At 43.5% G+C, this 23452-nt stretch overlaps 1 long non-coding RNA gene across 1 annotated transcript; it reads right to left on the bottom strand.

Annotated features, from left to right (window-relative positions):
* Positions 1-638: 638 nt before the first annotated feature.
* On the bottom strand, positions 639-22243 carry LOC124901469 (uncharacterized). Its single transcript, XR_007059888.1, has 2 exons — positions 22016-22243; positions 639-4356 (listed from the first exon to the last, which is right to left on the bottom strand). It is a non-coding gene; the product is annotated as an uncharacterized LOC124901469 (long non-coding RNA).
* Between the last annotated feature and the right edge of the window lie 1209 nt (positions 22244-23452).

Here is a 23452-nt window from a genome sequence, read left to right as displayed (position 1 = left end):
TGTGACTCTTCAGCAGAAATCCCCAAGAGCAATCCAGCACCGTAATCCCTTTATCTCAGTATACAGATTCTTAATATACAGATTCATAAGAAGCCCCGGAATCGAGCTGGTAGTCAGCAGCGTGACCACAGGGGTCAGCTACGGTCAGCTCACATGCTGAGTGGTTGTTATTCGTGCTCTATTAGTTGAGTCAGTACCCTCACATTGTTCCGGATTGTGAATGCTGTAAGAGAGAATAACACAGGGCCCTGGAGGCAGAGAAGACAGATTGAACAAATGTGCACTAATAATACTGACGCAGACAAGGGGAAGAATGGGTGAAAATAAGAGGCTTCCCCAGGAAGGAAGAAGAATGTCAGGATTGAGTTCTGGGAATGTAAGTGGATTACCCTACAATTAAAATCCCAGAAACAGAAAGGTTATAAGAGATAGGCTTATTGTGAGCACAGCAGTATTTTATATTTCCATAAAGCTAATTTCAAATCTCAAATTATTTTAATTTTTTATGCTTGTAATTTTTAAAATAGCAAACATTATAGCTAAAAATGCTTCAAACAATTATTAATTGGGGGAAATATAGTTATTTTGGGTCAGAACTAAATGTTAAAACTACAACAATAAATATCCTTGAGAAAACATGGGAGAAAAACTTTATTATTTTGGATTAAAATTATTTTAGATGTCACAAAAAAATCAACTTTATCAAAATTAAAACGTCTGTTTTTGAAATAAATTATCAAGAGAATGAATGTTAAGATAAAATATTTAAAAGCCATGTACTTGACAAGGTTTGTATCTGGAATATATAGAACACTAAAAACTCACTAATCAGAAAAAAACAATAAAAAAGTGGGCAAAATATTTTAGTAGACACTTCACTAAATAAGGTATATCAATGTCAAATAAGCACCTGCGTGACATCCAGTATCATCAGTTACCAAGACAATGCAACTGAACACCACTGTGGGGCTCCACCACTCCCCTGTGGAATGGCTAAAACCAACAGCCTGGCCCCTCCACAGCTGGGAAAGGGCGTGGAAGAACTGGATTACATACTCTGCAGTGGAAACGTAAAATAGCTTCACTTTGGAAACAAGTTTGGAAGTTTCTTAAATACTAAATCATGCAACCTGTCCTGCGTCCATCCAGCCCACCCTGGATCCTCACCCAGGAGGAGTGCCGGCAGGCAGCTGTGCAGAGACTTGCACACAACTCTTTGGAGCATTTGCATCTGACTGTCAAAAACCAGAAGCAACCCTCATCTCCATCATCAGATGGATGGACACGTGCTATATGACCCTGTGGCGGAACGTTGATCAGTAGTTAAAAGAAATGGCCTCTTGATACATGGTACAACACAGATGAACCGTAACATAGTTATTCAGAGTAAAGGAAGCCAGACTAAAAAGAGTACCTTCTGTGAGATTCTGTTTACACAAAATGTGAACTACTCCACAGGGACAGAAACAAATTCATGCTCCCCTGGGGGGTGAGGAGGGAGGAGGGATGGTGGAGGGCCAAGGGGCAGAAATGAGTGTTGAGGGGAGGCAGTCCGTTCATTACCTTGATGCCGGCGATTGTTAAAACATCCAATTGTATGCTTAAAATCTATAAAATTGTACCTCAATACATCTGTTACAAACATGACAGGGTGAGTGTTATCCGGGTGTTATATAGTTCGGCTCTGTGTCCCCACCCAAATCTCCTGTTGAGCTGTAATCCCCAGTGCAGGAGGTGGGGCCTGGTGGAAGCTGGTTGGATCGTGGGGGTGGTGTCTCATGAATGGTTTTGTGCCATCCTCTTGGTGCTCGTCCCACAACAGTGAGTTCTCTTGAGATCTGGTGGTTAAGAGTGTGCAGTTCCTCCTCTCTCTCTCTCTTGCTTGCTTGCTCGCTTGCTTCTGCTCCTGCTCCTGCCATGCAAGATGCTCACTCTGGCTTCGCCTTCCACCATGACTGGACATTTCCTGAGGCCTCCCCAGAAGCAGAAGCCGCCATGCTTCCTGTACAGCCTGCAGAACCGTGAACTGATTAAACATTTTTCTTTATAAATTACCCAGTCTCAGGCATGTCTTTACAGCAATGCAAGAACAAACTAATGCAGAGTGGTGACTATGTGTGTGGAAGTGGACACGGATGTTAAAGGGGGCGCTGAGGGTCTTCATGCCTGGCAGAGTGAAGGGCCACCCTCAGCAGAGCTCCACTCTTGTCCACGTGAAGATGCCGTCAGTGACGGCAAGGCCTGTGCCCTTCTCTCCTTGGTCTTTTGATTTCTCCTGGCTTCCTCGCTGAGCTCTCTGTCTGGCTCGGCACTGCATCTGTATCTGGCCACCTCCCACGCCTGCAGAGCCTGCTGTCTGTCCTTAACCACGCCGCTCCTCAGAAGGAGGCTGTTTTGTCTTCCGCTGACTCAACTTGACCAGGAGCAACTTCTGGTGGATGGGAGCTGGGAACGCTGCATCCAGACAACCACCAAGTCTTCTGAATGATGATTTTCTTCTTCCTCTCCTGCACCTTGATGGTCGTTCACAACCCACATCTTGGCTGCTGTTTGTGAAGCGTGTTGTCTGAGGATGACAGCTCTACTGATGGTTAAGAAAGATTACAGGAAAAAGCATTTTTTTTTCCAAACAAAATTTTAAAAATGTGTTGAGCAGAGGTTTTAGTTTTGTTTTATGTTTCCACTGTACATATTCCAAGGCCAAAAAGCTATCATTTGCACCATTTTACAGCACATATTTGGCCACCTAACGTGGTTTGCTTTAACTCTCCCTGTGAGTGGCAATCATCAGGCATACGCAGGTGATCGTGGCTGACAGCCCCAGAAGACTGCAGAGCTGCGAGAAGAAGCCCACTGCACAGCCAATTTCCACGGCTATCCAGTTGGCCCTGGAGGATGCAAAGCCCTTCTCTTGGGAGGAAAATTTCCATTCATTCCCAGTCTCTTCAGGTGCGGATTCTCTTACCAAGTCTCAAGAGCCGGAGTGGGTGGGGATCCAGGGCTGAGCAAGACAGACATGTGCTGTGTTCTCTGGGAATTATTGTGAATAATCTCAGATGGTGAAAAGTTCCATGAAGAAAGTAAAAAACAGTACTGGAATAGGCCCAGAAAAGGTCACCAGCAACTCTAGTGGAGTGGCTGCTACTGCCAGGTAGAGCCAGTAAGTGCTTCCAAGGCAGACCCAGAGGGATGGAGGCGTGGGAAAGATGAGGAGCCTGGGCATTGCAAGGCAGGCAGGGACTGGAGGAGCCACCATAGCCCAGATGGAGGCCGGGAAGAGGCCTGCAGGGGCACGCACCCTCACGCCTGCAGAGCAGGACGGACAGCCTGCTGACCGGGGAGAGGGGAGAGAGACCTTGGGCAGTGTGGGGAATTAAGAACTGTGAAACGTGTACTTCATAGTTTTTTTGGGGGGTAAACTCATTATGCTGCTCATAAGAGGGCAAGATTTTATCATTCACTTTATGCATATAGATAACTTTTATAGATCATTCTTAGAACCACTCATGTTTTATCTGTATGATCTCAGGAACTACCTAGAGACCTCAATCAAATATACACTGGTTTACACTGTGTCCTTCCGACAAGAATCCTCTTCCACCTCCAGACCTGAATAAACGCTGCCTCTTTCGCCCTTCCCGGTACTTTACCCTGCGGGACTGGAGCCAGCAGCCCCTCCCTGGGGAGCACTTCCCACCCCCTCAACTGGGCGGGTGCTTAGGGGGTGTGTTCTGTGCTTCTCCACAACGCACTTTTGTGTTTCTTGCATGGTCTCCTCTGTTAGAAAGCAATGACTTCATCGACCTTGTCCATGTTATACACAAAATTCCTGCAGCACAGTAGGCATGTAACAACACAGACTTCATGCGTGAACACAAATTATGATGTCCAGGTATCTTCAACAGCAAAGGGTATTCACCTGGGGAGAAATATGGAGTCTATGTGTTGTTGTGAAGGGCAGATGGAGAACGAGTGCATAAACAGCACAGTAAAACCCAGGCCTATTAGAACATGGAACCACAGTCATCACTGGAATCTGCAGTCACAGCGGAAGCCCCATCACGGGGGCTCAGAGGTGAAGCGGGAAGAAGCTCGGCTGAAAGGAAAGCTCGGTGGAGGTGAGCCACTGACGTTTCACACTGAGAAATACGGCAGGTGGGCAGTGCCATTGACACTTTACACTGAGAAATATGGCAGGTGGGCAGTTCTGAGGCGAGTGCAAGCTTCCCCATCCACAGTGAAGCTCAGGTCTTCCACAGCAACTCCTGGTTGCCTTCCCGGTCTTCTGGACTCTGAGCACTCCACGACCTCACTTGTCAGCTTGTAAACTGTTGCAGGAATCTTGTGCTTCACAATCTGGAAGGGCATGGTAATAGTTATCATATGTGACTTCAAATTATTTTTATCTTGGGAAAGGAAAACTTTGACCAAGAAATCATTACATATTTATTTTAACATTTCTTGAATAGAAACACATTTTCTTTGTTTGATTTTGCCCTTCAGCTAGTATTTTGGAAGAGTTGAAAGAAAAAGACTTTGGAAAATATAAAAGGGAGCAGGATTTTTTTTTAATATGTTGGAAATATTTAAACTTTCAACTCTCTTGGAATTTTATCAGAAATATCATCCTGAGGCTTCAAATCTATTGTTAATTTGATGAGTCCAAGCTTTTTCTATAATGAATTATGCTTATATTCTCTAGGAATTCCTGCGTGTGCTTCCGTAAATTGTAGAAGCAAATTTTACCCTGAGTTCTTTCAGAAAAATAGCAGTAGAGGAGACAGGCCCCAAGGAAGAGTGTGTCCTTATTTAAGGCAAGTTTTCTAGTCTGTTTTATTTATTTACCATCACATCTCACGTAGGCATCATTAGGATCTCCTCTGTTTTATGAAGGTGAAACTGAAGCTTAGAAATATCAATTAATAACTGAGAGTGGGAGCCTCAGGCCTTGTGAGCTGTGTGAAAAGGGAAGTGGATACTGGGAGTGAAATCAATCAGCGCCAATCCAGCCTAAGATGAGATGAGTACCCTGAGCTGAGTGTGGGAGGAGTCCCATCTCTAAAACTAGTGAACTGTGGTGTGTGGAACCGGGATGAAACCATATGAGACACACAGTTGGAAGACTTCCAAACTCTACACACAAACAAGCCAATATTTGCATTGATAGCATAGCCACAAGTGCCTACTAAAACAAAGTCCAGTTCCTACCAGAGTGAACCAGAAGATCCGACCTCCCCTCCCTACCAAGGATGTCTGTCAGCAGCTCACATCTGATCTTGACCCCACAGCTTGAAAACTTCCAGTGCTCCCTGTATCTCTTAACATACAGCATGGAATGCTCAGGGTAGCACATGAAGGCCTTTCCCTCTGACTGCTCATCTTTCCAGCTCCTCCTCCTCCTGCTAATCTTTCCCCTCTCACCTTCCCTGCATCCTCACTGAGTTCCCGAGTTTATTTTAAAACCTGTGTCAGTCTTACGACTCATAAATATCTCTCCTGTATACCATGATTATAACCTCATTGATTTGTTTATTTCCATTTATTTCTCTAAACCAAAACCTTCTTCAATTTTGAATTCATGCCACAGGGATGTCCTGTTTCCAGCTCTGGGGGGTATAGGGTGGCATGGAGTTGTGGGTGATGTGGGAGGAGAGTGAACAGAGAAGACAAATTTATGCTACATCTCTTGTATGAATGGATTAGTCCAGTTTCATGCTGCTATGAAGAAATACCTGAGACTGGGTAATTTATAGTGAAAAGAGGTTTAATTGACTCAGTTCTGCATGGCTGGAGAGGTCTCAAGAAACTTACAATCATGGCAGAAGGGACCTTTTCACAGGGCTTTAGGAGAGAGAATGAGTGCAGGCAGGGGAAATGCCAGATGCTTATAAAACCATCATATCTGGTGAGACTCACTCATTATCAAGAGATCAGCATGGGGGAAACTGCCCCTATGATTCAATTACCTCCATCTGGTCCCACCCTTGACAAGTGAGTTATCATTGACAAGTATATTATTGACAATATTATTATTAACAAGTATTATAATTCAAGGTGAGTTTTGGGTGGGGACACAGCCAAACCATATTCTTCCACCGATGGCTCCTCCCAAATCACATGTCTTTTCACATTTCAAAACCAGTCATGCCTTCCCAACAGTCCTCCAAAGTCTTAACTCATTTCAACATTAACTCAAAAGTCCACAGTCCAAAGTCTCATCTGAGACAAGGCAAGTTCCTTCCACTTTTGAGCCAGTAAAATCAAAAGCAAGGTAGTTATTTTCTAGATAGAATGGGGGTACAGGCATTGGGTAAATACACTCATTCCAAATGGAAGGAATTGGCCCAAACCAAGGGGCTACAGGCCCCATGCAAGTCTGAAATCCAGTGGGGGAGTCATTAAATCTTAAAGCTACAAAATGATCTCCTTTGACTCCATGTCTTACATCTGGGGCATGCTGATGCAAGAGGTGGGCTCCCATGGCCTTGGGCCACTCCTTAACGGGTTGGCATTGAGTGCCTGTGGTTTTCCAGGCACATGGTACAAGCTGTTTGTGGATCTACCATTCGTGGGTCTGGAGGATGGTGGCCCTCTTCTCACAGCTCTACTAAGCAGTGCCCCAGTGGGGACTCTGTGTGGGGCTCCAACCCCACACTTCCTTTCCACTTTGCCCTGGCAGAGGTTTTTCATTAGGGCTCCAACCCTGCACCAAACTTATGCCTGGACATCCAGGCATTTCCATACTTCCTCTGAAATCTAGGTGGAGGTCCCCAAACCTTAATTCTTGACTTGTGTGTACCCACAGACTCAACACCACGTGGAGGCTGCCAAGGCTTGGAGCTTGTACCCTCTGAAGCAATGGCTTGAGGTGTACCTCAGCCCCTTTGAGCCATGGCTGGAATGCAGTGCACCAAGTCCTGAGACTGCACAAAGCAGCAAGGCCCTGGGCCTGGCATATGACACCATTTTTTCCTCCTAGGCCTCTGGGCCTGTGATGGGAAGAGCTGCTGTGAAAGTCTCTGACATGCCCTGGAGACATTTTCCCCATTGTCTTGGTGATTAACATTTGGCTTCTCATTACTTATGTAAATTTCTGCAGCTGGCTTGGATTTCTCCTCAGAAAATGGGTTTTATTTTTCTATAACATTGTTAGGCTACACATTTTCTGAACGTTTATGCTCTGCTTCCCTTTTAAACATAAATCCCAATCCAAACCATATCTTTGTGAATGCATAAAACTGAATGCTTTTAAGAGCACCCAAATGACCTCTTGAACACTTTGCTGCTTAGAAACTTCTTCCACCAGATACCCTAAATTATCTCTCTCAAGTTCAAAGTTCCACAGATCTCTAGGGCAAAGTCAAAATGCCACCAATCTCTTTGCTAAAGCATAGTAGCAGTCACCTTTATTCCAGTTCCCAACAAGTTCCTCATCTCCATCTGAGACCACCTCAGCCTGCATTTCATTGTCCATATCACTATCAGCATTTTGGTCAAAGCCATTTAACAAGTCTCTATGAAATTTCAAATTTCCCCACATCTTTCTGTCTTCTTCTGAGCCCTCCACACTGTTCCAACCTCTGCCTGTTACCCAGTTCCAAAGTTGCTTCCACATTTTTGGATATCTTTATAGCAGCACCCCACTCTCTGCACTACCAATTTACTGCATTAGTCCATTCTCACCCTGCTATGAAGAAATACCCTATACTGGGTAATTTATGAAGAAAAGAGGTTTAATTGACTCATAGTTCTGCATGGCTGAGGAGGCCTCAGGAAACTTACAATCATGGCAGAAGTCACCTCTCCACAGGGCAGCAGGAGAGAGAATGAGCATAAGCAGGAGAAATGCCAGATGCTTATAAAACCATCAGATCTCATGAGACTCACTCATTATCAAGAGACCAGCATGGGGGAAACTGCCCCCATGCTTCAGTTATCTCCACCTGGTCCTGCCCTTGACAAGTTAGGATTATTACAATTCAAGGTGGGAGTTGGGTAGGGACACAGAACCAAACCATATCAATTAATGATAATGAAAATATAGTGTTTAATATTTCATTATACATATCTTAAATGCTTCTTGTTGAAAATGAAAAATGTGGAAATATACGGAAAATAAACTACAAATAACTGCACTTCTACCCTGTAAAAGCAAATATACACACGGGGTCAAGGAGAGCTTTCCCATATAATAGGCAAAATGGGAAAAGAATAAGGCCTTGAGTTGTTTGCCAGCTCAGTGTAATTCAAAGGAGTTCTGTGGCCACCCCTAAATTAAATGCTACTCTGAGGAGACAAACTGGCTTCATTCTGTGCCTTATCTGACCACATTCTGTGAGCTGAGCACTGAGTTAGACACTAGAGACCTAAAGGTAAGTTGCTGTGCTCCACTATTTTTCATGTCTTCATTATTGTATTAAGTAATCGATGACTTATAAAATGTATTGACAAACTGAAGCACGTTTTAAGAAAGCTCATCCATATATGATGAAGACTCTTGAATTAGTCCTCTAAGCAGATTTGGTGGAAATAGGGATGTGAAGCTTCCAAGAGGAAGGATTGAAGGGGTCAGTGTGATGGACACCCAGATATGAAAAGCATGGAACATGGGAGAGAGGGTGTTTCATTCTGGGTTGTTTCAGAGGGGCTGGCCTGTCCTGGCATTTGGAAGCTTAAGAAAAGCAACGTTCAGCTCAGTGAGGTTGACTGCTGGCCTATCACCCTCACAGGTCACAGGTCACAGGGGAGGAGGCCAGGAGCTCCTACCCCACCATGGATACCGCAAAATCTCAACAGCAACTGACCAAAAGGATGAAGTGTGTGCTTGGTCAACTGGACTAGATTATTTTTTAAGAATTATTCAGGGACCTGATTCTTGCTTATCTTAAATATCTTTGCAATTGATAGTGGATTATTTGGAAAAAAGTGTAGTGGTATAAACATTCTTAAAACTGTTATAAATTATTCCTGTGTATGTATCTTTGCCTGATACTCTGCCAAATTATCATCATTTGCTCATTATCTGACATAACCTAATTCTAAGGGTTATCCTATTCTAGACCCGTTTTGCATGTTTGTGTCTTGACACTGCACAGCCTACATCTCATCACTTGGATTCAGGGCAAAAGAGATTTGTTTTACCTTGGTCAAGGCTAAGTCTGAGGACATGCCTGGTCTCCTGCCATTGACTCATCTTCAAATTTATTGTTTTATTTAAATGATAATTAGTTTTATGATAGGCAGATTAGATTTGTGTATAGTGTTATAACTCCTAACAGTTCCACTCCTTAAATGAGCAATGTCAAGAATTTATTTTTGTTGCAAGACTTAAAATTACTCTAGGAAATAATTTTAATGCTGAGGGTATGCACATTTCGTATCTTATTTGCTATACACAATTTTCAGAAGGCTGCAATGCTGAGAAAATTAAATGTCAAAGAACAGCTATTCTTGAAAAAAAAAAAACTCATTTCTTTCTGTTGATTCATTAAAGACAAAATATAAAAATTTCCCATAACACTTTCAGGAGCAAAATTACTATTTATCTTTTTAAACGGATTTTTAACAAATTATTTGAGGGCCTGGAATTTACAGTAGATTTAAATGAATGTCCTCTCTGTTGTCACTCTTTTATATAGAAATGAGCCCCTGACTTGTGGAATCGGAGAAGGAGAGTAAATGTTTATGTCTGAACAGCAATTCCACCAAAAATACTGGGTTGGAAAAATATGGAATGCCAACATTCCAGTGGGAATTCCTGCTCCACATTCATTGGGAAAGATGTGGAGGCTCATTTACATTCTTTATGTTTTCCCAACTCCCATAAGCTTTCTTTCCTTTGTTTGTTTTTGTACTTAAGGAAAGGTTACTTTTTCTGAGGTATTGCGGGGGGTGGGAGCGGGTAGAGGAGTGAAAGAGGGGAGTTTGGGAGTGATTTGAAAACCTACCAACAAGCATTGGTTTTGCAGTTGTTCCCTGTCTTTTCTTTGCTGTCAGCAATCAGAGACAGCTGGTATTTTTCCTTTCCATCTCTCCCTGCCCAGTGTGCATTCCTCCATCCCAGCTTCTTTCACTCCTGCTGCTCACAAGCCAACATGGAAAGCCTCTTACAAATCCTGCAAGGCACTGAATGGAAACTGTTTTCCCTCTTTGTAGTTTCTTGGAGCTACACACTTTGTTTCAGTGTGTTTAAAAGTAACTTACAGGCCAGGTGTGGTGGCTCACGCCTGTAATCTCAGCACTTTGGGAGGCCGAGGCAGATGGATCACTTGAGGTCAGGAGTTCGAGACCAGCCTGGCCGACACAGTGAAACCCCACCTCTACTAAAAATACAAAAAGCTAGCCGGGCATGATGGCAGGCACCTATAATTCCAGCTACTTGGGAGGCTGGGGCAGGAGCATTGCTTGAACCTGGGAGGCGGAGGTTGCAGTGAGCCGAGATCGCGCCACTGCACTCCAGCCTGAGTGACAGAGCAAGACTCTGTCTCAAAAAAAAAAAAAAGTAACTTACATATTGTTGACACATAAGCAGACTTTAGTGACTCATTTTAAAATGGGTTCTCTGTTTCTAATTCTTTAGGTTTTAAGATATGCGGCCGGGCACGGTGGCTCACACCTATAATCCTAGCACTTTGGGAGGCCGAGGCAGGAGGATTGCCTGAGTTCAGGAGTTCGAGACCAGCCTGGGCAACACAGTGAAACCCTGTATCTACTAAAATACAAAAAAAAAAAAAAAAAAAAAATTAGCCAGGCATGGCAGCATGCACCTATAGTCCCAGCTACTCGGAGGCTGAGTCAGGAGAATTGCTTGAATCCAGGAGGCGGACGTTGCAGTGACCTGAGATGGCACCACTGCACTCTGGCCCAGGTGACAGAGTAAGACTTTGTCTCGAAAAAAAAAAATGCATTTCTCATCTCAACTGGTAGTGTTTCATTATGGTAAGCAGGTACTAGTGTTACTGGAAAGGGGTCCCAATCCATACTCCAAGAGAGGGTTCTTGGATCTCGTGCAAGAAAGAATTTGAGGTGAGTCCATACAGCAAAGTGAAAGCAAGTTTATGAGGAAAGGAAAGGAATAAAAGAGTAGCTACTCCATACACAGAGCAGCCCTGAGGGCGGCTGGTTACCCATTTTTATGGTTATTTCTTGATTATATGCTAAACAAGGGGTGAATTATTCATGCCTCCTCTTTTCAGACATATAGGGTAACTTCCTGGTGTTGCCATGGTACTTGTAAACTGTCATGGTGCTGGTGGGAGTGTAGCCGTGAGGACGACCAGAGTCACTCACGTCACCATCTTGGTTTTGGTGGGTTTTAGCCAGCTTCTTTACTGCAACCTGTTTTACCAGCAAGGTCTTTATGACCTGTGTCTTGTACCAACTTCGTATCTTATCCTGTGACTCAGAACGCCTTAACCGTCTGGGAATGCAGCCCAGCAGGTCTCAGCCTTGTTTCACTCAGGCGTATTCAAGATGGAGTTGCTCTGGTTCAAACAGCTCTGACACTAGTGTACCCTGAGCTATCTGGAAAACTCCGAAATTATGTTGATAGTACCTTCTAATAAAGTAGTCGTTTTCATACACACCATGATTTCAGTACGAAGTGTGTATTTAAACACATTTGTAAATTGTCTGATGTAGTTATCGTTATAGAGCTCATAATTTTCAGCCTTTCTTATAGAACTGACAAATACTAGAACATAGTCATTCCGTAGCTATAGCTGTAGATTTGCAAATGTTAACAACGTTTAAAAATGATTAGGGACATCATTCAAATTGAAACATTCAGAGATATCTATGAAAATGGTCAAAAAACCTGCTCATGAGCAAATGTTGTGTGGCTCTCACTACGGTCCCTGGCTCCCGGCACAGCTTTGAGGAGAGGCAGTCTCACAAGAGAAGGTGCTTAGGAGAGGCATATGGCTCACACATTACTGCAGGCCACTGTAAAGCATATTTAGAGAAAGAAATTAAGTGGACTTCTTGTACTAAAGGACTTGAGAATTTGGGGAAATACATAATTGGCAAGATGGAGTCTGGCACTCCGGAGCTCAAGTCTTTGTGTTCATTTCCTGTTTGTAGAGTAATGTCTTCCTGTGCGTATGAAATGGTGCTGGATTCCAATATTGATTGTTAGCTGAAAAACGTTTCCTGAATCGTGTGCCCTGTGCTATCCTAAGTCAAGTGCAGACAGGGAGATTCATTAGTATATTGCTGAGTGTAAAATACATTTGCACGTTTTGTTTGCTGGGAGCTTAAGTGAATTTTTTATTTAACTATTTCTACTGGTTATAAAAGTCATCATTTGTGAAACCCAGTTCAGGGTATGAATTCAGTGAAAAAGCTAACAGTGCTGTCATTTTGGAGTCAGGGGTGTTGGTGTTTGGGAAGGAGAGTATATATCAAGGCTCTTCTCTAAATATCTTTAAATGTCTGTCTCCCAGGAACATTGCATCAGCTGACCACCTGTGGTTGGGTGGAGCCATGTGCCTAGGTCTGGCCAGCGATGTGTATCATTTCTAGTCGGAGCATTTAATCGCAGGAGTGAAATTGTCAAGAACTCTCTTTCTGCCAACATGGTGGGTAGCAAAATTCAAAACGATGGCTTCCCTGTTGACCAGGTATTTTTGCTTCCCTGATGAGCACAGCCCCCTGCTGACCTGAAATACACTGTGTAGACTGAGTGAAAAATAACCTTTCATAGTTTGAACGTAGTATGTTTTGTGGGAATTGTTACTTAACACATAGTAACCTTAGTCCATGCTGCCAATACAAAAATCGGTTCCTAGATGTGGGCTGCTGCCTGAAAGTATCAGGCACTAGATTAGGATACAGGCAGTGAGCAGTGAGAAAGCTGTTGGGGAAACCAGCCCCACATCACCCGGCGGGTACCCCGAGTCCAGCGGAGACAAAGGAGTTAGAAAGAGACAGAATAAGAGTCTAAAAGGCGGGTCCAGGGGACCGGAGCTGGAGGCTTGCTGACGGCCCCGAGCTCTCGGCCTCCACCCAATTTATTGGTTTACAAGCTCTTTGTTCTTAGGGCAGATGGGAGGGGTAGGAAGGGATGAGGAAAAGGATTAATCGGTGAAGAAGAACTCGTGAGTCCTTCAATAAGATGTACAGCAGTGGCGGTTTCTGTGAATTTCCTTGAGCAAAGGCGTGTGTCTAAACTACTTAAGATCTTTAACCTATCGGGACTGAAATGGCGGGGAGCGGGTTTCAGGAGAAGCCAAGATGTTTGATTATACTCCACAGCTTCAAGGGAGGGTTATGTCCCCGAGCAACCTGTGGCATGCTGCTGAGCTGTTCCGCCCTCGGGCATAAAGACATGAAGGCAACAAGGAGACTTTTCTCCTCAGAGGCCGCCCATGGCTCCCCATGGGTGTCTCACACAGGGGCGACCAACTCATCTGGCATCCCAGAAACTCTTTCCCACAAAAGCTGGTATTGGAAATGCGGAGGTAGCAGCCCCGTTACATGGTGGTGAGGCATTTGGCAACACCAGCACCAGTGACGAAATGAAAGGAAGATGATGTACCTTGTAATAGTCACTCTAGGAGAGGCTGCAGGAGACAGGCTGTCTGTAGCATGCTTTGGTTACCTATTAGCTGTATTTGACACGGTCCAACAAAACAAACAAAAAGGTAAAATGAGACAAGTGATCAGTTTGCGCGGGGAAATCCAGAGATCTCAGGAGTGTGCAGACCCTGGGACTTGCAGGGTTGGAAGAGTCAACTGCTTCTCATGCTCAAATTATAACAGTTAAATAAAGAAAAAAAGCAGGAAAAAGACAACAAACAAGAGGGCCTTGGAGAGAGAGAGCCTAATTAAAACCAACCCTGATGCAAAGAACAAATCCAGACCCAGTCGCCACTCCTGGTGTGAAAACTTCTGAATGAATTATGAAGCTTCAGAGCTAAGGCACAGCCCAGGTTTCAGTTCCAGTGAGGCCTGTATGTTGCACAAAAATGGTCTTTGAAAAGGGAGACGGGGGTGTGGCTCTCCCACTGAAGCCTGAGGCCTAACACAGAGAAAGAGTTGCTGGAGAAGAACACACAGAAATATACCAAATCTAAGAGGTGTGTCTGCAAAAGGAGTGTGGATGTGGCAGTTGGTACATGGATCTGTCTAGAATCAAATAAATGAGAGATTTACGAAGTTTTTAAGAGAAATACACACCCCAAAACAACACAGCAAGATAAAAACATGTGCCTGGATTTTAATCTCTGACTTATTTTATCTGAACGTGTCCTTGCACTGCCAGACTTTTCTAGGGAAGGAGCTCACCGTGGGCTGTGTGGGCCCAGGGGAGGCTCATCCCAGGTCACACTTCAGAGGTGACCATGGAGGATGGGGAAGAAGGCCCTGCCGGGCAGCCCAGGGACAGCAAGAGCCCACCCTGGCAGGAAAGGGCTTCCTAGGGAGGAGGGCCAGGGCCTTATCAAGAATCGTGTGCCTCAGGCTATGAGGGTTCCCACGGAACACTGCCTACTGTACCTCTTGGGTCTTCCTGTCTCTCTGTTCCACCACTGTGTGGGGCTGCAGAGAGGCTCTGGCCCCTGTGTCCGGCTCACAGACTCTGTTGGCATCAGATTGAGGGACTGGCACATACTGTCCTTAGCTGCTGCCTCCCTCAGAGATGCTGGGCCATGGTCATGGCTGATGTTTCTCCAAGTGTTCCTGGGTCTTGGCCTTCCAGGCACAGGTAGGATAGGAGTTACCAGCTTCCTTCAGCTTGGGTGGACACCAGGACCGCATCAGGCAGCTGGGTGGTGATGAGCAGCATTGACCTGGGGTGCATTGTGGACTCCAGCACAGAACAGCCAAGGTCTGAGCCCTGTGTCCTCAGAGGTGCTGAGCAGAGGCCCCCAGAAACTGAGCGTGAGGGAGACAGGAGCAGAGGCTGTGAAGGCAGAGGCAAGGGCACCTGCTGTCACCAGGCACAGTCTCCCCTGTCTTGAAATGTAGGTGTGGAGTGGGGGACAGGGTTACAGATTTTGTTTTGCTTCTGCATTGATAAAGTTAGCAGATAATCATTGGTTCCATGGTTCCAGGCTTTCATAAATGTGAGGGCTGTGTTCTCCCGATGTTACACAAGCTTCCGGATTCCACGTGATGATGATTGTACTTTTATGTATTCACTGCACAGATTTGCTTCGTGTTCACATAGATTAAAGAATCTTCACAAACACTCAGGGGCAGGATTGGACCCACTGGTCAGGAGGAAGAAACTCAAGTACCTTCCACTGCCAGGTTTGCAGTAAGAGCTGCAGCTGCCCAGCAAGGCTGTTGGGATCTTGATGACACAGCGGTCAGTGCCCTGTAGGGAGCCCGGTTCAGGGCTGCTGCTTCTTGTTTTCCAAGAGAGACTCAAAATTCAGATTATTTCATGAGAAATACTTTGACTTTTAAAATAAACGAATGAGTGACTAAACGAATGGATGAGTGGGCGCCAAGTTGTGCTCTGTCTCTGGGCTCCCAGAAGGGATGAGATGGAGAAACCTTTAAACTGAGTGAAGAAAATAAAGTCTGGCTTCAGGGATTTTGTGTCTTATTTTTGGTTGGTTGGTTTGGTTGGTGGATCTTGGCTAGGTGGGAATTTTTAATATATGTAAGGATTATGAAAAATGACACTCAAATTATACCAATTTCCCAATATAATTTAAGGTATTTTTTTCCTTCAGTATTTAAAGAGTTTGTTGACTTGCATTACCCACATTTTCCAGATACATGACTTAGTTTTTAAATTAACTTTAAAAGGCATTAATGCCACTACAAAAACATGAATGTTTGATCAACTTCCTCCTGATTTTACTCATCACTACAAGGTGAGAATTTTATGATGGCATTAAATATTCTTCGAATTTGTGATTTTTAACTGTAGCAAGACGTTATTGCACGTGTGTGTCAGTTTCTGTGTGTGTTGGAATGTGTCAGTCATTCTTTTAATAATTATATTGTTTTATTGAACGCGTGTGTCAGTTTCTATGTGTGTTGGAATGTGTCAATCGTTCTTTTGATGATTATGTTGTTTTATTACATGTGCGTGTGAGTTTCTGTGTGGGTTGGAATGTGTCAATCATTCTTTTGATAATTATGTTATATTGCATGTGTGTTAGTGTCTGTGTGTGTTAGAATGTGTCAATCATTCTTTTTTTGATGATTATGTTGTTATATTGCATGTGTGTGAGTTTCTGTGTGTGTTGGAATGTGTCAATCATTCTTTTGATGATTATGTTGTTTTATTGCATGTGTGTGGAGAGTTTCTGTGTGGGTTGGAATGTGTCAATCATTCTTTTGATAATTATGTTGTTATATTGCGTGTGTGTTAGTGTCTGCGTGTGTTAGAATGTGTCAATCATTCTTTTTTTGATGATTATGTTGTTTCAGTTTGCTAAGGCTACCAAAACAAAGTACCACAAACTTTGTGGCTTAAAATTAAAATGTATTGTCTCACAGGTCTAGAGCTTGCAGTTCAAGATCAAGGTGTCAGCAGGGCTCTTTCTGAGGACCACGAGGGGATCTGCCCCAGGCCCCTGCTTGAGTCTCAGGGTTTGCCGGTAATCTTTGGTGTCCATGGCTGTTAGAAACATCACCCCCATCTCTCCTTCAATTGCATGTGGCATTCTCCCCAACCATCTCTGTGTCCAAATTTCCCTTTTTCATAAGGACATTAGTCATGCTAGATTAGAGCCCCTCTAATGACTTTGTGTTGATTTGATTACCTCTATAAAAACCCTAACTGTAATATACGTCCTAAGGCAGTGGGGATTAGCACTTTAACATATGAATTTCTGGGGAACACAATTCAACCGTTGACATAGGGCAATTAAAATATCTTTAGTGTTACACATAGCATTGTAATAAACACCATTTACATAAATTTTTGATGAATTTTTAAATTATTTCCTTATTATAGATTTTTAAAAGTAGGAATATTAGGCCAAATTACATGACTACATAAAGGTTCATGGTATGTAAATAGCCTTTCAAGAAGGATCTGTTAATGTTCACTTCCAGCCCCATTTAGTGTTGGATTTGGGTGATTTGATGTGTATCATCCAATGGTCGTCTATAGAGTCTTATTATTATTTTATTGTGTGTTTATTTGGCTTCTAGAGAGGTTGCAATATATCACATGATTCTATGGCTTCAGAGAAGGAATTTATATTCATTCTGATGTTCTATAAGATGGGAATGCCTTAATTTGGCTTTGTTCTTATTAATAGAGCTAGTAACAAGGCTCTGTTGAGTCTCTATCTTCTGATAACTAAAATAAGAACATTTTAGTCACCAGTCGGTAATTGGGAAATACTTTCGACTGGAAAAACAGTCATATCCCCGTTATTCAGTCCATTTTAAAACATTGTAGTATATCACTACCTTTTACATTTCACAAATATATTCATACGTAGGTATGTATATATGTACATATTTATATGATTGCATACATATATGAGTATATGCATATACATTGTCTTTATCTAGAGACTTCTTATTCTGAAGTAAGTTTAGACTCATAGAAGTGTTAGAAGTGTTGTGAAGGTAGCCCAGAGAGTTCCTGTGTACTGTTTATCCTGCTTCCCCTAATGCTAAAATCACAAATAATCATGGTACAAACATCAAACTAAAAAATTAACATTGGTACCATACTATTAACTAAAGCACAAGCTCAACTCTTAATTTCTCAGTTTTCCACAACTGCCCCTTTTCTGCCCCAGGATCCAATACAGAATCTCATATTGAGGGAAGCTATGCGTCATCAGTCTCCAGCTGTGATGATGCCTCAGCCTTCTTTGTCTCCCATGAACTTGAAATTTTGAAGCAGCTCTGGTCAGTCTTTTCTAAAGTGTCCTATGAATGTTAGTTGGTCAGATTGTATAATAGGGTCATTTATATCGTCTCTATCCATGCTGATGTTTTGTCTTTCTGTTCCATCAATAACTCAGAGACAAGTACTGGCTTGTGTAACTGCAATTGCAAAACCGACCTGTGAAGTTCTATTAGTTTTTAAGTCTCACATATTTTAAAGGGGTATCGCTAGGTGCCTGCATATTTAGGGTAGTTTTATCTTCTTGAAAAATTGGTTGCTTCATTATTATGCAACATTCCTCTTTGTCCCAGGTAGGTTCCTTTTTCTGAAGTCTACCTTGATATTAATATAGCTGCTCCAACTCTCTTTTAGTTAGTGTTTGTGTGGTGTATCTTTCTGCAGCTTTTCACTTTAACTTATTTATGCCTTTATACTTAAAGTGAATTTCTTACAGAAAGACTGCAGTTGAGTCTTTTGCTGTTTGATCCAATCTGGAAGTCTTTGTCTTTTAACAGACATGTTTAGAGTATTCACCTTCGAGGTTATAGTTGATGGAATTGAATGAAAATCCAACATTTTGTTTACTGTTTTCTATTTGTTCTATTTATCCGTATTTGATTTTCTTTTGTTTTCTGCCGTCCTTTGGGTAAAGCGAGATTTTAAAAAAAATGATTCTGTTTAATCTCCTTCATTAACGTATTATTTATAAACATATAAAATTATTTTCCAAGGGTTTGTAATACATATGCTCAATGAATCTTCGTTGATACTGCCTCGCATTGTAGTTGTCCATTCCCCGTTCTAGTGATTCACAACAGCATTGCAATCACAGCCTCACTTACCGCTCCCAGCTCCCATGCTGATGCCAGTGGTGTGTGTGGAATTTGCCTTGTGCACCTGCCCAGAGCCAGATTTGAGTGACAGGTCCATCTTCCTCTCTGCCTGGCAATGCCACAGCAGGGCTCTTTCTCTGCTAGAATGGTCCATTCAGCAGAATGCTGATGATGTTGGCACCCAACCAGAGATTGAGACCTAAACCTTCACCATCCTTCACTAGCCATCCTGGGGCACCCTCCCCACACACAAAGCCCACTCCTCCAGCTTCTAGGTTAGGGGAGAATGCAGTGTCCCCTCCCCACTCACAGGTGAAGGAAGTGTGCATGTGTGGTGTGGTAGAGGGGATGGAGTAGAACTCACCAGAAAGCCAACCTGTATCTCCCTCCTAGTTGTGTTGTCCCACAGTGGGAGGGTGCATGCCCGCCTGCAAAGGGTGTGTGGCGGAGGGTACTGGAATATTGGTGATTTGTGACCCATAGCAGGCCACAGACCAAGTGGCCCCGTGGGATGGTGGCAGGCCCCAGAAGCTGGGCTTGTTGAGTGTTCACATCTCAGAGCCCATCATGAACAGTGTAACAGCTCTCTCCAGGGTTGGGAGGACAGGAAGCACCTCCCTGAGCCCACCATGGGCTCAGGACAAAATGAATTTACTTTGTAATTTCCCTTAGTCAGTGTTAGGTCGTGATGGGATGGTCCTCCTGGTCCTCCTGGAGAAACTCAGGACATGCCCACAGGACTGGACACTTGAAGGATTTTGGCAACTCTTGATTTAATTAGATGCTGCTAAGGCTCAACTCCATGACTCCACAATTAACTGATTAGAGACTGAAGAGTCTTCAGTGCTGCTATTTTCATAAATGTTAATTTAACGTAATTTTGCTGGTCTTTTTTTATGAAAAATAGGCACGACTAGACATTCATTTTCTGTTTCTGAGGCAGTCACCTACGAAAAGCCTCAGCACTGGAGATGCCAAGGCAGCCGTGAGCCATTCTGGGTGAGAAACACCTTCTAGCAGGGCCCTGGGGCCACAGCGCGGTGGGTGTCCCCTGGCTTAGACATCTGCTTCTGCTTCTGCTTCTCTTTGCTTCTACATTCAAAATCTTCTTGCTTTGGTTGTATGAATCACTTTTCTATTCGCCTTTAGAAACCACTAAAAGTGATGTGCTTTCCCTCGTATGGTGTGGGTTCCAAATACACTGAGTGACTTAGTGGGTCTTTAAATGGAAGAAATGGAATTGTACATACTCTTAATTTTAAACAATGTGAAAATATTTTTGCTGTATCCCACGTTTAGTTACACACAGAAAAACAGCACAAAAGTATAAGAGATATGTAGTTTCGCAAGGCTTTTTGTTGTTATGTTTAGTTGGATATATTTCTAATGAAGCACAAAGACCTCTACATATGAATACTTATGTTAACTATTGTCTAAACTCGAATAACGCAACAAAATCAATATCCTAAAATATTCTCCCAAAATCCAGACAATGTATAATTTTGTATGTATCAAGATGTTCAAATTTACTCATAGATTTTTGGGGGGTGGAAGGAAGGTGAAGAGGTTCCTCAAGAGAACATTTTTAAAATTGGAATCAGCTGTTAATTTGAATATAGGTGTAGTTGTAAATGAAAGAATGATTTCTAAAATGACATGAATGTAACATGTGTATCCTTTTAAGTTAGAAAAAAACACAGTTGAAGGTCATACATCCAGGTCAGCTTTAAAATTAATAAGTATAAAAACCATCTTCTTCCTTGCCAGCATTTGTGAGCCAGATGCAGCGTAGAACATAATCTGCCCGTGCAGGGAATGACAGTGTGAATGTGCGTATTATCGAGGTGAAGTCAGTCCCGTCAGCAATGATGGGCCCAACTGTCCCTGCCCGTCTTTGCTCCAACGTCCTAAAATACACCTCAAGTCTGGCACTGTTTTTAAACTCCTTCTATGATGGGTCTTCGTGTCCAGCAACAAGCTGGAGCGGCCTGGTGTGGTATGTGGGTCACGACTCAATTGCTTCAATCCCTTTCTTCCCTGAGCAATCCCCGCTCTCCCAGGTGCAACTGGTCAGTTCAATGAACCTGACCTTCACTGTATTCTAAGCACGCCAGACACACTGAAATCTCCTCCTCATCCTCTCTTGGGAAATTTCTACTCAACGTTTAATAAAGAATCTGAGTGCTGCCCCCTCGATGGGTCTCCCAGAGCCCCGTGCTGTCTTTGCATTCCTGCTGCAGCTCGTGCATCCTTTCCTGTCACCTGTGTTTCGTTCTCCAAATGCTACTCCTGCGTGGGACATATTGATGGTGTCCTGCAGGAAGGGGCTGAGGCACTATAAATAGGGAATCCATTTCTAGCTCTACTCCAAGTAGGACACAGTCCTTCTCAGACAAGCATACTAGAACTCACTATTCCTCACCAGCTCCTCAGAGTGCCGAGGCTCAGGCTTCCCCAGAAAGCATGCAGACCAAGTGCACATGGACCACAAACTGAGAGCTGCAATAGTCCTGAGCCCCAGCTGGGAATCCTCAGAGCCTGCTGGAAAGCACAGTTCTTCATAGACATCAGTGAACTGAAGGCTTCCTGTGGAGCTCGTGGATGATGAAAGGACACTGGTCCTGATGGGCAGGGATGCTTGGTGTGTAGTTCTGTAAAGACGTTGGGACTCACGGGACTCCATCCGTCCAAGCGGGCCCAGCTGGGCCTCCCCTGAGACTTGGGCCTTAGTAGGTGCCTATCATTTCTTCTGGTGCAGATTCAGGCCTGTGAGTGAATATGACCACATAACCTGTGCTTCCCGGGAGGTTCTGGACACATTCCAGTTGTTGCTCTGTCTCCTACTTCTGCAGCCAGACTTCTCACAAGTATTGACTGCATACATTGTGTCAATAATGATGACTTCAGCAGCATCTAACCAAACCAAATTACAGCAGCCTCACCAAAAAAGATGTGTTTTCGGGGAATAGAAAGTTCAGAAGCAAACAGTCCAGGGTGATTGCAGCTGTTCAGGGAATTCACCCAAGGCCCCGGCTCCCTCCCACTTTCTGCTCCATTGAAGGGTAAAGGTCTCTTGCAGATGGACCCACTTCACCCTGAGCTGACCTTGGGCTTATTACCTGTGTTCTCGTTTTTACCAGGCTAGTTGCTGTAATGTTGCTTAAAAACTAATGCTAGGGGCTATAAACTTGCAAACGTAATTTTGTGCCAGACATAAATTTCTAACCATATGCTAGAATTGCTCAAATTGTGTCTATTTTTTCTCAAGAAAACTTGGCTGCCTATCCATTGCTTATGGAATAAAATAGAATCTCCCTCATTTGTTATTTAAAGACTTTTTGAGCAAACTTCTCCCCCTTGCGAGGTTTACCTCAAGTAAACGCCGTCACGTCCTCCACACCCCAGAGGAACTGACCTCCACGCTCCTCAGTCGCTCCCCTGCGTTCATGTCCTGTGGTGGTTCAGACCTCAGTAAGAGACATGGCTAAACTGCTTCACCAGAAAATGTAATGTGATGTAATATCCTTTCTGATTTATTTTCTTTCCGATCTTTGTATTAAGAACTAAAGATCGTGTGCAGCTTGGTCGTGTCATTCCGTTGTTGTGAAATGTTTTCCGAATGAGCTTTGCAGAATTTCTCTGCATCTGTGCAGTTTTTCAGTGGAAGAGAAGCAGGCCACGTGTCCACGACCCAATGCAACTCCTCCCGCGTTAGCTGCCACAGCCAAGAAGGGAGCCTGCAACTTCTCTTCTCCTTGCCTGAGCTGTTGGCCACATGCTGAAAACGAAAACTAAGCAGTGTGTCCATGGCTCCTCCAAAACAACGCTCATTCCCGCTGTGCAAGAATGCCTCAGCCCTCACTGAGTTTCCATTTTTTTTCTGGCTGTCAAAGTAGACAAAGTTTATGTCATACATCTTAGCAGCTAAATGTATGTTCTTAGATTGTTTCTTTGTGCACAAATACTGTCTTATCAAACTGTATGGTCCTTACACACAAGTAAACACATGGGAAGCACATGAGAAGCTTTAGTGACTATTTCATTAACACTTCTGAATAGCGTTAGCCGGAAACAGTAAATCCAGAGCCTTCCTCACATCCTCACATGCCTTCAGATATCCTCTGACCTTCGGAAGTGACCTTAGGTATGATTTTCCTTTCCTCATTTCCAAGTCTTTGATCCAAGTGGGGTTGAAGTATCATCCCGACTCATTTCTGAAGACTTGTAGCATAGGGCAGCCCCTGGCTTATTCTCAAGCTGCCCAATATCTTTAGTTTGTTTATTTTTTCCAAATATGCCAAGACAAACTTTCCCTCAAGCAGAAATGATAAATCCACATGGCTTATTTACAGCAGTTCCAGGGGACTAGAGGGATATGATAAAAAGAAGCCAGGGGGTCCCTGTGAGGCCAACATTCTGTAAGACGCTCCGGTCAGGGCCATTCATTTCTAATCACAGTTAGTCCTCAGAGTGGGAATCATGATATCCATTTTAGGAAAGGAATTCAATTGTATGTATTAAGAATTTGGGGCAAAAGCTTGGTAGGAAAGCAATAAACATTTATTTGATGAAGATGTATATGTCCATGAGTGACAGACAGGAATTGCAACTAACGTGTATCAGATTCCAAAGCATTTTTTTTTTTCAGCAAACTATACTTAATGGTATGTTATGTGATCTGCCAATATCATCACATAGACTTTTAAAAATCTTGGCCGGGCACAGTGGCTCACACCTGTAATCCCAGCACCTTGGGAGGCAGAGGCGGGGGGGATCACCTAAGGTCAGGAGTTCGATACCAGCCTGA

This window comes from Homo sapiens, chromosome 6 (genome assembly GCF_000001405.40).
Source record: "Homo sapiens chromosome 6, GRCh38.p14 Primary Assembly".
In the NCBI taxonomy this organism is placed as follows: domain Eukaryota; kingdom Metazoa; phylum Chordata; class Mammalia; order Primates; family Hominidae; genus Homo; species Homo sapiens.
This window is presented reverse-complemented; position numbering and strand designations above follow the sequence as displayed.